At 41.3% G+C, this 15,627-nt stretch overlaps 1 annotated feature.

Moving 5' to 3' along the window:
- Positions 5,209-6,408: an enhancer, noted in NCBI's record as "MED14-independent group 3 enhancer chr5:55535983-55537182 (GRCh37/hg19 assembly coordinates)". NCBI's record gives its function as "activates an origin of replication core promoter dependent on BRD2, BRD4, P300/CBP and CDK7 cofactors, and independent of MED14, by STARR-seq in HCT116 cells {active_cell/tissue: HCT116}" and the evidence as "EXISTENCE:reporter gene assay evidence [ECO:0000049][PMID:35650434]".

Below are 15,627 nucleotides of genomic sequence, written 5' to 3' on the forward strand. Positions count from 1 at the left end.
ATACCCTCAAACATTTTTGGAAACTTAATGAATATGGCTGGTTGCTCCTAATGTCACTGGACAAAGTGATGAAAGAAAAGGATTAGCTCACGGATTCTAATTCCCAGCTCAGGTGCCATATAGATGACCTGGAGGTGTGTATGTGTACCCTGAAGGAGAGTCTTACCTCCTGTAGCCATGAGGCTGAGGATGCTGCAATCAAATGCAGGCTCTCATGCTGCAGCTGCCTGAATTACAATGCAAATTGAACTCCTGAATTACAGCGCAAGTCAAACTCCCAGCTTCACAGGATGTCTGCTGTTAAAGTGAGGACATTGATTGGGAAAGTAGAGGATACTGTAAATTGGATAGAGACATGTGAGAAGACCCTGATGAAGCTGGGGGACACTGAGCATCTAAACTCTGAGGAGTCTTCTTTGCCAGTGGAAGTGGACTCCCAATCCCTAGTAGAAGCAGCCTCCCCATCTCCAGTGGTAGCAGCCTTTTCACCTCAGTCTGAGAAGATTGACTCTGAATTGCCTGAGGAAACTGTATTGGCCTTCCTTGAGGCAGCTGCCGTGCACAACAATGCTGATTCTCTTCAGGAGCCACCACCATTGTTCCTCTGCTTCTAGACCTATAACTAGACTCAAGTCCCAGCAGCCCCTAAAGGTGAGGTGCAAAGTGTGACCCATGAAGTACATTATATTCCAAAATAATTACTTGAACTTCCTAAAAATCCAGGAAACATGGGAATGGATACTAAGGGAGTGAAATAATGGTGAAAGGAACATAAAGTTAGATCAGGTTGAATTTATTGATATTAACTAATTAAGCAGAAATTCTGCATTTACTGTTGCAGCTCAGGCAGTTATAAAGTGTTCTAACAGTCAGGTTAGTGGGTTGAAACATGGACCAAAAAGTGGCCCAGGGTGAGCAAATTGGAAATACTGGACTTGCCTTGGTTTAATGTGGAAGAGATTCAAAGGCTTAGGGAGATTGGAATGTCAGAGTGGATTTGTCATTTAAGAACTACTCACCCACACTGGAGGGTCTAGAAGACATACTTTTAGCAGTACCGTGAGGAATAGGAATAAATCTGTGAGGGGAACCCCAGCATCTTTGAAGAGTTCTGTGATTGCTCTTCTCTGCAGACAGTGAGAACTGCAGTCATTGAATTGGGAAACCTAAATGCAGTGGGAATAATTGGATCCTAGGATGGTAGGGCTAAGTGGTGGTACTCAACTGCCAAAGACAAGGTGGGCATAGTTACTGTTGTGGAAAAAAAATAGAATCATGGCACCCCAAATTCACTATGCCACAGGGAAATTTAAGCTTGAGAACTGAGTCATGCAAAAAGCTGTCTTCTTTCGTTCCCAAACAGATAGCTGTATTTTCACATGCTGACTTTATCATATGTAGAGTTACTGGGCATGAGAGAAATGTGTAATTGCTTTTTCCCCTATTCCCTCTTTTTTTTTTTTTTTTTTTTTTTTTTTTGAGACGGAGTCTTGCTCTGTTGCCCAGGCTGGAGTGCAGTGGTGTGATCTCGGCTCACTGCAATCTCTGCTTCCCAGGTTCAAGCAATTCTCCTGCCTCAGCCTCCCGAGTAACTGGGATTACAGGCCCCCACCACCACACCCGGCTAATTTTTGTATTTTTAGTAGAGACAGGGTTTCACCGTATTGGCCAGGCTGGTCTCAAACTCCTGACCTCAGGTGATCTGCCCACCTCAGCCTCCCAAAGTGCTGGGATTATAGGCATGAGCCACCACGCCCGGCCAACTCTATTCCCTCTTTCCACATGTAATATGTAGACTCACTGAGTGCTAATCAGAGCCTCACAAAAAGGTGACCACTTGTTTCATTGCCTATCCTCTCTCCTTTATTTCCCTCCTCTTCTGCTTGCTCTGTCCTCTTTAAATACTGAAGTTCCTAAAACTCTCTTTGGAAAAAGCCCAGGTCACAGATCCCACTGTGACCTGTGTTTCTTTTTCCTGGTTGCATCCTCAACCTTGGCAAAATAAACCTGCAGTCAATTAAGATCTACCTCAGTCACTCTTTGGTTTATGCTGTAATGGACAGCAGAGGTCCAAGCAGCAATCAGAGTTGTCTGAGTCATAGAAACCTATGGCATTGGCTAGTTGATCATGGCGTTTCTCAAAGTAAAATAGATAGGAAGCCTATGAAATTCTTAATCTGCATAAGCAGAAAAGCTCTAGGTTAAGTGACAAAAGTCTAACACGAATCATAAAAACAGAGAATCATGATCCCTCAATTAATTCCCAGAATTGAGCCTGTTTACAAACCTAAAACCCCTTAAATGAAGGGGAGGCTGGAGCCCTTGAGGAAAGGCCCTGGTACCCTACTAAATGTTTATACTGTTAATCTTTCTCTCAGTTTTCCCCAAAAGAGATGTATGGCCTTTTTACTAGGGTAACTGTGCATTGAGAAAAGAGAAATAATCAGACCTCTCAGGGCTTACTGGACATTGGCTCTGAGCTGACACTAATTTCAGGAGACTCAAAATATCACTGTGGCCTGCCAGTCAGAGGAGGGACTTTTGAAGGTCATGCGGTCAATGGGATTTCAGCTCAGATCCATCTCACAGTGGGTCTAATGGGCCCCAATGCCATCCTGTGGTCATTTCCCCAGTTCTGGATGCACAATTAGAATAGACATACTTAGCAGCTCACAGAATCTCTACATTGGTTCCCTGAATCGTGGAGTAAGGGCTATTATGGTGGGAAAGGCCAAGTGGAAGCCACTAGAACTGTGTCTACCTAGGAAAATACTAAACCAAAAGCAATACGACATTTCTGGGGGAACTGTAGAGGTCATAAAGGACCTGAAGGATGCAGGGGTGGTGATTCCCACCACATCTCCATTCAACTCTCCAATATGCTTTCCAATTTGGCAGAAGACAGGTGGATCTTCGAGAATAACAGTGGATTATAGTAAGCTTAACCAGGTGGCAACTCCAATTGCAGCTGTTGTTCAGATATGGTTTTATTCCTTGAGCAAATTAAAACACTCTCTGGTACATAGTATGCAGTTACTGCTCTGGCAAATGCTTTTTCCTCTCAATACCTATTAGTAAAGACCACCAGAAACAGTTTATTTCAGGTGACAAGACAACATTCTTGATGAACATAAATCCAAAAATCCTCAACAAAATACTAGCAAACTGAATCTAGTAGCACATTAAAAAGTTAATCCACCATAATCAAGTGGGTTTTATCCCTAGCATGCAAGGTTGATTCAACATATGCCAATCAATAAATATGATTCATCACATACACAGACCTAAAAACAAAAGCCGCATGATCATCTTACTAGATCAGAAAAGAATTTCAATAATATTCAACATCCCTTCATGTTTAAAACCCTAAACAAACTAGGCATTGAAGGAATATATCTCAAAATAATAAGAGCCATCTATGACAAACTCACAGCCAAAAACATACTGAATGGGCAACCCAGTATAGGCAGGACTGTACTGAATTCTGGAAGCATTCCCTCTGAGAATTGGAACAAGACAAAGATTCCTACTCTCACCACTCCTATTCAACATAGTACTGGAAGTCCTAGACTGAGCAATCAGGCAAGAGAAAGAAATAAAAGGCATCCAAACAGGAAAAGAGGAAGTCAAACTATCTATGTTTGCAGATGATATGATTTTATACCTAGAAAACCTCATATTCTCTCTGCCCCAAAGCTCCTACATCTGGTAAACAACTTCAGCAAAGTTTCAGGATACAAGATCAATGTACAAAAATTAGTAGCATTTCTATATACCAACAACATCCAAGCTGAGTGCCAAAACAAGAACGCAATCCCATTCACAACAGCCATACACATACACACACACATACATATACACACACACAGACACACACATACGCAATACCTAGGAATACAGCTAACCAGGGAGGTGAAAGAGCTCTATAATGAGAATTATCTTTCAAACAGATTCTTTTATTATTCTTTTCTGAAAGAAATCAGAGATGATACAAACAAATGAAAAAACATTCCATGCTTGTGGATAAGAAGGAATCAATATTGTTAAAATGGCCATACTGCCCAAACCAATTTACAGATTGAATGGTATGCCTATCAACTTATCAATGACATTTTTCACAGAATTAGAGAAAAATTAGAAAAATTTTTAGAATTAGAAAAAAACGATTCTAAAATTTATATGAAACCAAAAGAGCCTGAATAGCCAAAGCAATCCTAAGCAAAAACAACAAAGCTGAAGGCGTCACATTACCCAACTTCAAACTATACTACAAGGTTACAGTAACCAAAACAGCATGGTACTGGTACCAAAACAGACACATAGACCAATGGAACAGAATAGAGAGCCCACAAATAATGCTGCACACCTACAACCATCTGATCTTCAACAAAGTTGACAAAAACAAGGAATGGAGAAAGGACTCCCTGTTCAATAAATGGTGGTGGGATAACTGGCTAGCAATGTGCAGAAGATTGGAACTGGACCCCTTCCTTACACCATGTACAAAAATCAACTCAAGATGGATTAAAGACTTAAAAGTAAAACTTAAAACTATAAAAAATCCTGGAAGATAACCTAGGAAATAACATTCTGGACATAGGCCCTGACAAATATGCCTATGCCTATGTTGTCTTTCATGACAAAGACACCAAAGCAATTGACAAATGGTACCTAATTAAATGAAAGAGCTCCTGCATAGCAAAAGAAACTATCAACAGAGTAAACAGACGACCTACAGAATGGGAGAAAATGTTTGCAAATTATGCATCTGACAAAGGTCTAATATCCAGAATCTAAAAGCAACTTAAACAAATTTATAAACAAGAAAAAATCCCATTAAAAAATGGGCAAAGGACATGAACAGACACATTTTTTTTTTTTCCAAGACAAGGTCTCACTTTGTCACCCAGGCTAGAGCACAATGGTGCAATCTAAACTTACTATAGCCTCCACCTCCCAGGTTCAAGCAATCCTTCTGCCTCAGCCCCAAAAGTAGCTGGGACTCCGGGTGCATGCCATCATGTCTGGCTAACTTTTTTGTACTGTTTTGTAGAGATGAGGTTTCACCATATTGGCCAGGCCGGTCTTGAACTTCTGAGCTCAAGCAATCTGCCCACCTCAGCCTCCCAAAGTGCTAGGATTACAGGAGTGAGACACTGTGCTCGGACATGAATAGACACTTTTAAAGAGACATACCCGTAACCAATAAGCATATGAAAAAATGCTCAACATCACTAATCGTTAGAGAAATGCAAATCAAAAACCACAATTAGACCCATCTCCCATCAGTCAGAGTGGCTATTACTAAAAAGTCAAAAAGTAACAGATGCTGGAGAGGTTGTGGAGAAAAGAGAACACTTATATACTATTGGTGGGAATGTAAATTAATGCAGCCACTGTGGAAAGTAGTTTGGAGATTTCTCAAATAAATTAAAACAGAACTACTATTTGATGCATCCATCAAGTGGAAAGTTTCCTTAATTTCAATTTTTCAGTCAGATTTGTGTAAGCTGATCCAATTGAGATGTCTATGTTATTGGTTATTGTTTCTGCTGTTAATCGTCATTTCTCTTCAATTAAGGTATAAACAAGTTGAATTTTTTCCTTGCAAATTGAAATGGATGATCTACTGTTTCAGGCTTCATTTCCAAAGTGATCTCGTCCTTTCTTAAAATGAGTTATTCATTGATAAACGACTGATTTCTTTGGGAGCGTTGAGCTCATAAACTTTTCATAAAAGATCAACGATTTCACCATTCTTCCACTCAAACTTCCCCATAAATATAATATTTGTTCTTGTTTCAATTTTAGCAGGATTGAGCTCATAAACTTTTCATAAAGGATCAATGATTTCACCATTCTTCACTCAAGCTTGACTATAAATTTAACATTTGTTTTTGTTTTTAGCAGAATTCATGTTGCTCTGATAGAGGCTCTTTTCAAACTGAAATCTTAAGCTTCTTAGTGCTTTCAACTAGATCTTGTTCAGACATGTTAGTATGAGTCTATTTCAGATATGTTAGTATGAGTTTATTTTGGTGTAAAAAACTTGAAATTCATACATAGTTTTTTCATAAAACATATTTTCTATGAACTATTTGAAGACCCCTCATACGTAGATGTACAAATAACATACTGATATGGTTAGGCTTTGTGTACCCACCCAAATCTCACCTTGAATTGTAATCCTCATAATCCCTACAGGTCAAGGGAGAGACCAGGTGGAGGTAATTGGATAATGGAGGTGGCTTCCCCCATGCTGTTCTTGTGATAGAGAGTGAGTTCTCACGAGATCGGATGGTTTTATAAGGGGCTCTTCCTCCTTTGATCAGCACTTCTCCTTCCTGCCACCTTGTGAAGAAGGTGCCTTGCTTCCCCTTTGCCTTCTACCTTGATTGTAAGTTTTCTGAGGCCACCCCAGCTGTGCTGAACTGCGAGTCAATTAAACTCCTTTCCTTTATAAATTACCCAGTCTCAGGCAGTTTTTTACAGCAGTGTGAAAATGGACTAATACAATAAATTGGTACTGCAGAGAGTGGAGAGCTGCTATAAAGATACCAAAAAATGTGGAAGTGACTTTGGAACTGGATAATAGGTGGAGGTTGGAACAGTTTGAAGGGCTCAGAAGAAGACAGGAAAACGTGGGAAAGTTTGGAACTTCCTAGAGACTTGTTGAATAGCTTTGACCAAAATGCTGATAGTGATATGGGCAATGAAGTCCAGGCTGAGGTATCTTAGGTGGAGATGAGGAACTTGTTGGGAACTGGAATAAAGGTGACTCTTGCTATGCTTTAGCAAAGAGACTAATGGCATTTTGCCCTTGACCTAGAGATCTCTGGAACTTTAAACTTGAGAGAGATGATTTAGGGTATCTGGTGGAAGAAATGTTTTGGCAGCAAAGCATTCAAGAGATTATGTGGGTGCTTTTAAAAGCATTCAGTTTTATGCATTCAAAAAGAGATGGTTTGGATTGGAACTTATGTTTAAAAGGGAAGCAGAGCATACAAGTTAGGAAAATTTGCAGCCTGATGATGCACTAGAAAAGAAAAACCCATTTTCCAGCCAGATGTGGTGGCTCATGGTTGTAATCCTAGAGCTTTGAAAGACCGAGGCAGATGGATCACTTGAAGTCTGGAGTTCGAGACCAGCATAACCAACATGGTGAAACCCTGTCTCTACTAAAAATACAAAAATTAGCCAGGTGTGGTGGTACATGCCTGTAATGCCAGCTATTTGGGAGGCTGAGGCAGGAGAATCACTTGAACCCTGAAGGCAGAGGTTGCAGTGAGCTGAGATCATGCCACTGCACTACAGCCTGGGGGACAGAGTGAGAGTCTGTCTCAAAAACAAAAAACAAAAAACAAAACAAAACAAAACAAAAAAAAAAAGAAAAAGAAAAACCCAAATTTGCAGAAGTAATGAGGAACCAAATGTTAATTGCTAAGACAATGGGGAAAATGTCTTCAGGGCATGTCAGAGGTCTTCACAGCAGCCCCTCCTATCACAGGCCTGGAGATCTAGGAGGAAAAAATGGTTTTTGGGGCCAGGACAGGGCCTTGCTGCTTTGTGCAGTCTCAGGGCTTTGTGCCCTGTGTCCTAGCCATGGCTAAAAGGAGCCAATGTACAGCTCAGGCTATTGCTTCAGAGGGTGCAAGCCTTGGCAGCTTCCAAGTGGCGTTGCACCTGCAGGTGCACAGAAGTCAAGGATTGAGGTTTGGGAACCTCCACCTAGATTTCAAAGAATGTATGGAAATATCTGGATGCCTAGGCAGAAGTTGCGTGCAGAGACAGAGCTCTCATGGAGAACCTCTGCTAGGGCAATGAAGAAGGGAAATGTAGGGTCAGAGCTCCCACACAGAGTCCCCACTGGGGCACTGCCTAGTGGAGCTGAGAGAAGATGGCCACCATCCTCCAGACCCCAGAATGATAGATTCACTGCCAGCTTGCACCACGTGCCTGGAAAAGCCACAAACACTCAATGCCAGTCCATGAAAGCAGGCAGGAGGGGGACTGTAACCTGTAAAGCCACAGGGGTAGAGCTGCCCATGGCCATGGGAGCCCACCTCTTGCATCAGCATGACCTGGATGTGAGACATGGAGTCAAAGATCATTTTGGAAATTTAAGGTTTAATTACTGCCCTGCTGGATTTCAGACTTGCACGGGGCCTGTAATCCCTTTGTTTTGGCCAATTTCTCCTATTTGGAATGGGTGTGTTTACCCAATGCCTGAACCCCCATTTTATCTAAAAAGGGACTTGCCTTGTCTCAGATAAGACTTTGGACTTGGACTTTCGGGTTAATGATGGAATGATTAAGACTTTGGGGGACCGTTGGGAAGGCATGATTGATTTTGAAACATTAAAGGGATATGAGATTAGGGAGGCGACAAGGATGGAATGATATGGTTAGGTTTTGTGCCCCCACCCAAATCTCATCTTGAATTGTAATCCCCATAATCCCCAGGTGTCAAGGAAGGTAATTGAATCATGGGCACAGTTTCCCCCATGCTGTTCTCATGATAGTGAGTGAGCTCTCACAAGATCTGATTTTTTTTTTTTTTTTTAGACGGATTGTCCCTTTGTCACCCAGGCTGGAGGGCGGTGGCTCAATCTCTGCTCACTGCAACCTCCGCCCCCCAGGTTCAAGTGATTCTCCTGCCTTGGCCTCCTGAGTAGCTGGGATTACAGGTGTGTGCCACCATGCCCAGCCAATCTTCTTTTTTGTATTTCTAGTAGAGATGGGGTTTCAGCACGTTGGTCAGTCTGTTCTCAATCTCCTGACCTCGTGATCTACCTGCCTTGGACTCCCAAAGTGCTGGGATTATAGGCGTGAGCCACTATGCCCAGCCCTGATGGTTTTATAAGAGGTTCTTTCCTGTTTGCTCAGCACTTCTCCTTCCTGCTGCCTTAAGAAGAAGGTGCCTTGCTTCCCCTTTGCCTTCTGCCATGATTGTAAGTTTCCTGAGGCCTCCCCAGCTATGCTGAACTGAGTCAATTAAACTCCTTTCCTTTATAAATTACTCAGTCTTGGGCAGTTCTTTATAGCAGTATGAAAATGGACTAATACACATACATAGTGATATATATATTATAAAGAAGAAAGAAAAGTGTGTGTGTGTGTGTGTGTGTGTGTGTTTAAAGAAAACAAAGCTTTTGTTATTTTTTTGTTTTCTTTCCGCTTTTATTATTCAACATGAGATGTATTGACTTTATATCATAGTACTTATATATTGTTAATTTATACATAGCATTTAAGTTATAGGACATCAAGGAGAAGAGTAAGCATCACTTAAGGACTTTACATGTTCTTCCGGGGAAGGAGTTAGTGTGTTTTCAGTTGTATGTGGGATGGCTGTATCATGTTAGGTGCATATATGATGTGGTTATTGTCCTATCTGGAGATTAAGTATGGTTTATGGAGAGGTGTATAGGTGCCAAGTTGATGAGGGGTGGAAATGTGATGATTAATTTTATCTGTCAACTTGACTGGGCCATGGGATGCCAACACATTTGGCCAAACATTATTCTGGGTGTGTCTGTGAGTGCATTTCTAGATGAGATTAACATTTGAATCAGTAGACTGTGAAAAAAATTGCCCTCCCCAATGCTGGGGGGAATCACGCAAAATCTCGAAAGCTTGAATACAACAAAAAGGCAGAGGAAAGCTGAAACCTCTCTCTGTCTCTGATTGCTTGAGCTAAGACATGAGTGTTCTCCTGTTCTTGTACTAGGACTTATACCAGCAGCCCTTTATTCTTAGGTCTTTGGACTTGTGCCAGGATTCTATCACTGTCTTTTCTGGGTCTTTAGCTTGCAGACAGCAGATTGTGGGACTTCTCAGCCTCCATAACTTCATAAGTCAATTCTTTATAATAACTCTAGCTGTCTCTCTCTCTCTCTCCCTCTCTGTTTGTCTGTTTGTCTTATCTATCTATCTAGTTGCCTCAAGCCTTTAGTAAATCAAATGTGTCATACTTATATACAGGCTTGGATGAGGTCATGATGTGTAGAAGAACACAGTTTAAAGAAAATTCTGGATTATTCTACATTCATCCATCTCCTGGTACTTGTGAGGAAGAAGAAACTTTCAATCAAGTGTGAACCATGAAGAAGTGGCTCAGCAGTGGTTGATGTAGAAAGAAACACTGAAGGGCCCAGGGAAACTGGAAGGTCATCATTATCATCATTTTCATTATTGTTATCCTTGCTATATAACTCAAGCCAATCACCCAACATTCAAGCACCCACCTTCTTTGTGTATCAACATATAAGTTGCTTTATGTGTCTGTGTCCCTGTGGAATTTGAGCCGCTTCTTGGTCACATGCTTTTCTCCTCACCACTCTTAGCCTTCCTGCTCACCTCTTACCCCTCCAATCCCAGACCACTTCTCACCTTGATACTCCTTCCCTACCTGATCCTTGATTGGATGTTTCTTATGAGACCATCACAGTTGGGGATGAAAAAGCAGTGGCTGCTCAAGAATATTACCAATTTAAAACAGAACTGTAGATATATGACAAAAGAGTCCTTGCTGTTATCCTTGAAGTCAAGGGGTTTCTAAACTACTTCCAAGGTCATTCCTTTAAAAATCTGTGAGCAATGTTCATGAGCTAATTTGGACTTTTTCTAAGGATAGCCCATATACTTAAGAGTCCCACTGTTTTACTAAGAGCCATATTCTTGTATAAAATCCTGGAAGAACACTACTGAATATTGATGCCATCTGTCGCTTCAAATTTCCAACTGTTATTTATACTATACCCATACCTCATTTCATGAAGCAACACTATGAACTCTTTCCCTATAAAATATGCCTTATGCTTTATGTACATATTTGTTATACCCATAAGACAACTTTCATATTGCTTTGGTCGTACAATTCCTACCTTTTAATATTAATTCACTTATTTACTCAACAAACAAACATTTGGCACCTACTCTGCATTAGAGACTCTGATAGCTCAAAATATATGTCCTTTATAGAGATTTTTTGACCATTTCAACATTTGTTGCCCTATTTGGCTCTTAATCAAAAATTATATTTAGACACCTTTCCTACTGATATTGTTCATTGTTTTGTAATGTTAGTCTTTCTGTTGTTGTTGTTGTTAAGACAGGGCCTCGCTCTGTCACCCAGGCTGGAGCGTGGTGGCGTGATCACAGCTCACTGCAGCATCAACCTCCTGGGCCCAATCAATTCTCCCATACCACCACTCCCGGCTACTTTTTTTTTTTTTTTTTTGAGACAGAGTTTTGCTCTTGTTGCCCAGGCTGGAGTGCAATGGCATGATCTCGACCCCACCACAACCTCCGCCTCCCGGGTTCAAGCGAATCTTCTGCTTCAGCCCCCCGAGTAGCTGGGATTACAGGCATGTGCCACGATGCCCGGCTAATTTTGTATTTTTAGTAGAGATGACGTTTCTCCATGTTGGTCAGTCTGGTCTCAAACTCCCAACCTCAGGTGATTCACCCGCTTCGGACTCCCAAAGTGCTGGGATTACAGGTGTGAGCCACCGTGCCCAGCTAGTCTTGTTAGTCTTCATATCCACAACTGAATTCTGAACTTCTAAGTTCTCAGAAAGCAGGAGCTGAATGAGAGGTCTTCTGTCTCTCACAGTGCTAAAACAATGCTATGCAAGTAGCAGTAACAGAGTCAGTAGCCAGTAATAGATAGTGGTTTGTTAAATGCTAAATGTTAAATGCCTGAATGGAAAAATCATATATATACATATATATATATACATACATATATATATATTTTTTTTTTTGCAAAAATGGTGAAGAAGGTGATGGAAGCCTGCTAGCTCCACAGTGCGTGCTCCTCTTCCCCGCCCCTTCCCAGTGTGTGTGATCCCATCCTAGTTAGTGCAGACCCTCCCCTTTATGACTTTGTTATATATTTTCCTTTTGTTTTTAGTTTCTAGGCTTCTATGAAACTTTATGCATATAATGATAGAAAATTGTTTGAGTATTTATCATACTTATCAGGTATATCTAGCATGCTTAGGTTGATCTAGAACTATGATGTCATTCATTCAATCATACGATAAATATTTAATGAGAATTAACTATGTACTAGGCAACGGCCTTGGTGCTAGGGACATTGTGGTGACTAGAACAGGCGTGCGGTCCTTATTCACAAGAAGCTTTTACTTTAGAGGTAACTTAGGTGGGCGCTTGCTATGGTCTTTTGGCATCTCATAGTCCTTAGATGCTGAGGGAACATCTCTTAATGATTACCTTTATAAGAACATAATAGCCCTCCCCATAACTGGGCAGACAGAAGGCTCTTCCTCCCATCCCTCTAGCCCACTAACAAATGCTGCTCTTGCTGCTGTCTTACAGGCAACTTTCTTAGCCTACCTTGCCTAAATGAAAGATGTAAAGAGGTTCCTCATCCTGTTACACTACGATGTACTTAGGCTCATACTGGCTAGTGGGCATTGCTATTACAATGGGTATCCACAGATCCGAATAATGTTAGCCTTTCTTTTAAAAATCTCAAATAGATAGTTTTGAACTTGTTTCTTCCTCTGAACTGCATTTGTTGCTTTACTAGATTTCCATCTCAACTGGAAACCTTGGGAATTGTATTCAATCATATCTGGATTGTGGCCTCTTCCACGGCAATCCAATGGATTTGGGAAATTACAGAAACAAAATGGGATAAAAACACAACCCACGATGCTTTTAAATGTCTGTGTGAATGGTGAATTTGCTGAGCATCTCAAAATTGTTTTTGAAAACTTCTAAGTTGGACCACATATCCTTTCCGTCTATTTTTAACTCGTGAATTATTGGCCAAGTTTAGATGCAGTCCTGTGGTTTGAATTAAGTTAGCACATCATAGAGATCTGGCTCCAGCAATCTCACTCCTCCCCTCTGCTCCTTCCTGGCAGACTCTGGAGGGTTTAGAATAACATTATTCTTTGCATTAATTTTTCTGAGAGGAAGTCTTTGCAAGGAATCTAACTGAACTTGCCTCTCCAAAGTTTCTTGTAGAGTTAGGAAAACAAAATGTGAGGTTACCAAGAAGGTTAATGGAAGAGAAGTCTGTGGCTGTTTGCTTAAAATGGTTGCTAATGGGGCAAAAGTCTCACTCTGTAGAGTTGTTCTGTTTTGTGACCAGACTGTACCCCTACCAGCCAAAAACGTCCAGGAGGATTGTGTTGCTGCAGCAACGCCAATCCCTCCCAATTGCAAGAAAAGCAACTTACAATGTGACACTCTTGGTATATGTGAGCCCCACTTTGATCACGAGCAGGGTAAAGCAATGCTTCTTAAATTTCAATGGGCACAAACGTGATCTGGGGGATCAACCGAAGATGAACTTTCTGATTTAGTAGACCAGGGTAGGGGCAGAGATTCTGGATATCTGGCAAGTTACCAGATTATGTTGGTAGTTGGTCCATCTTTTGTGCAGCAAGGGGCTAGAATATTTCTCAATAACTAAATAAAAAAAAAATACACTTAAGGGCTTCTCCATGGAGGTTCACTACTGAACAGTAAAAACTCATAAATATAAACTAAGCTCCCAAAGAGCCTCAGAAAATCAATCTCTAACAGAGGTTAGCCAGAGGTGGACACTGGTTAATATCTGGCAACTCTGACCACCTTGAATCCCCGTGTCTATTTTCAGGTAAAAATGGAGTCACCTAATGGCTAGATGTTATCAGGGCCATACATGTCAGAGCTTCCTCAGAATTCTGCCCCATTCTAGTTCTACACACACAGAAAAATTACAGAACATATCTAAGTATTTCTCCAGTATGTATACTGGAGATAATCATGATACCCATTCTGAAAGGTTGTTGTGAGGATAAACTGGGGTAACAAGGCCGTGGTGTGCTAGTGGGTCCAGAATTGGTTCCTTCTGGGTTCTTGGTCTCGCTGACTTCAAGAATGAAGCCGCGGACCCTCATGGTGAGTGTTAAAGGTCTTAAAGATGTTGTGTCCAGAGTTTGTTCCTTCAGATGTTCAGACGTGTCCAGAGTTTCTTCCTTCTGGCGGCTTTGTGGTCTCGCTGACTTCAGGAGTGAAGCCACAGACCTACGCAGTGAGTGTTACAGATTCATTCCTCCCGCTGGGTTTGTGGTCTCACTGGCTTCATGAGTGAAGCTGCAGACCTTCCAGGTGAGTGTTACAGCCCGAAAAGCCAGTGTGGACCCAAAGTGTGAACAGCAGCAAGATTTACTGGGAAGAAACAAAGAACAAGACTGCCACACCTTGGAAGCGAACCCAACAGCATTGCAGCTGCTGGATCAGGTGACCTGCTTTATTCCCTTATTTGGCCCCACCCACATCCTGCTGATTGGTCCATTTTACAGAGAGCTGATTGGTCCATTTTACAGAGTGCTGATTGGTCCGTTTGACAGAGTGCTGATTGGTCTCTTTTGACAGAGTGCTGATTGGTGCGTTTACAAGCCTTTAGGTAGACACAGAGTGCTGATTGGTGCATTTACAATCCTTTAGCTAGACAGAAAAATTCTCCAAGTCCCCACCCGACCCAGAAGCCTAGCCTGCTTTACCTCTCACTAGCACTGTCTAGAGCTGTCTAGAGAACTTTCTTATCAAAAAATGTTGTAATTGGGTTTTTCTCAAGAAATGGTAAATTGGGGTCTCTCAAACTGGATGCTACATGAGGTATGACCATATTCTGTCATTATCCCATGATTGGTCAATGCTTGGCTCTTTCACCTTGCCAAGGAAACCACTGAGTGTAATTTCAGAGTTTTGGGAGTTCATTGCTCCATCCGTTTTGATCTCCATCACAAGAAGCAGGACTCCAAGCTGTACAGTTTAAGGATGGATCCCAAGATATTATTGTCTCTCCAAAGTTTGTACTATAATGAATATGCCAAAATTAGCATGGGGAGGAACACAATGTACGTATATAGGTAATATAAAATGAGCCTGTGACCCAGTTACAGCTTTCATACATTTTTCTAAATAATCGTAGCTGGTAGATTAATTGGAAGATGGCAGCTCCCGTAGCAAGTAGGGGGGTAATTTCCCTCTGGTGCATTTGTGCTGAAAACATGGGTTTACTATTCTGAACGTAAGGGACATTAACAATCAGCCTAGCCATTCCAACACCAATAGATCTTTCATTCTTCTTTAACTGTTCTTTTCTATTCCTCTACATTTCTCTGTTTCCTCCCCTGACTCCTCTTCAATGCCTTCTGGTGAAAAGAAAGAAGTGTCTTTTCTTTTTTGAGAATGCTAGGCTGCAATTAGTGTGCCTCCTTTGACACAAAAACTTTCCCCAGAGAGGTAGATTTACAACCTACAGTCCACTAAGCACATGGGCGTTGGAGCTTGACTGGCTAAATTCTAATCCCAGTTTTATAACGTGATGCTATCTCAGTTACGCCTTATTTCCCTCATCTGTAAGATGAGAATATCTTAGTGCCTTCTTCATAAAGTTTTTGAGTGAAGTAAATTGACTTAAATATGTCAAGTTCTTAGGGCAATGCCTTACATCGTAATTCTGATAGACATTTACCTTTAAGATTTCCATCAGTTATTCTATCTCTTTGTTGTTGTCGTTTGTTTTTATTGAGATGAAGTCTTGTTCTGTTGCCCAGGCTGGAGTGCAGTGGCGTGATCTTGGCTCACTGCAACGTG

This window comes from Homo sapiens, chromosome 5, assembly GCF_000001405.40.
Source record: "Homo sapiens chromosome 5, GRCh38.p14 Primary Assembly".
Lineage (NCBI taxonomy): Eukaryota > Metazoa > Chordata > Mammalia > Primates > Hominidae > Homo > Homo sapiens.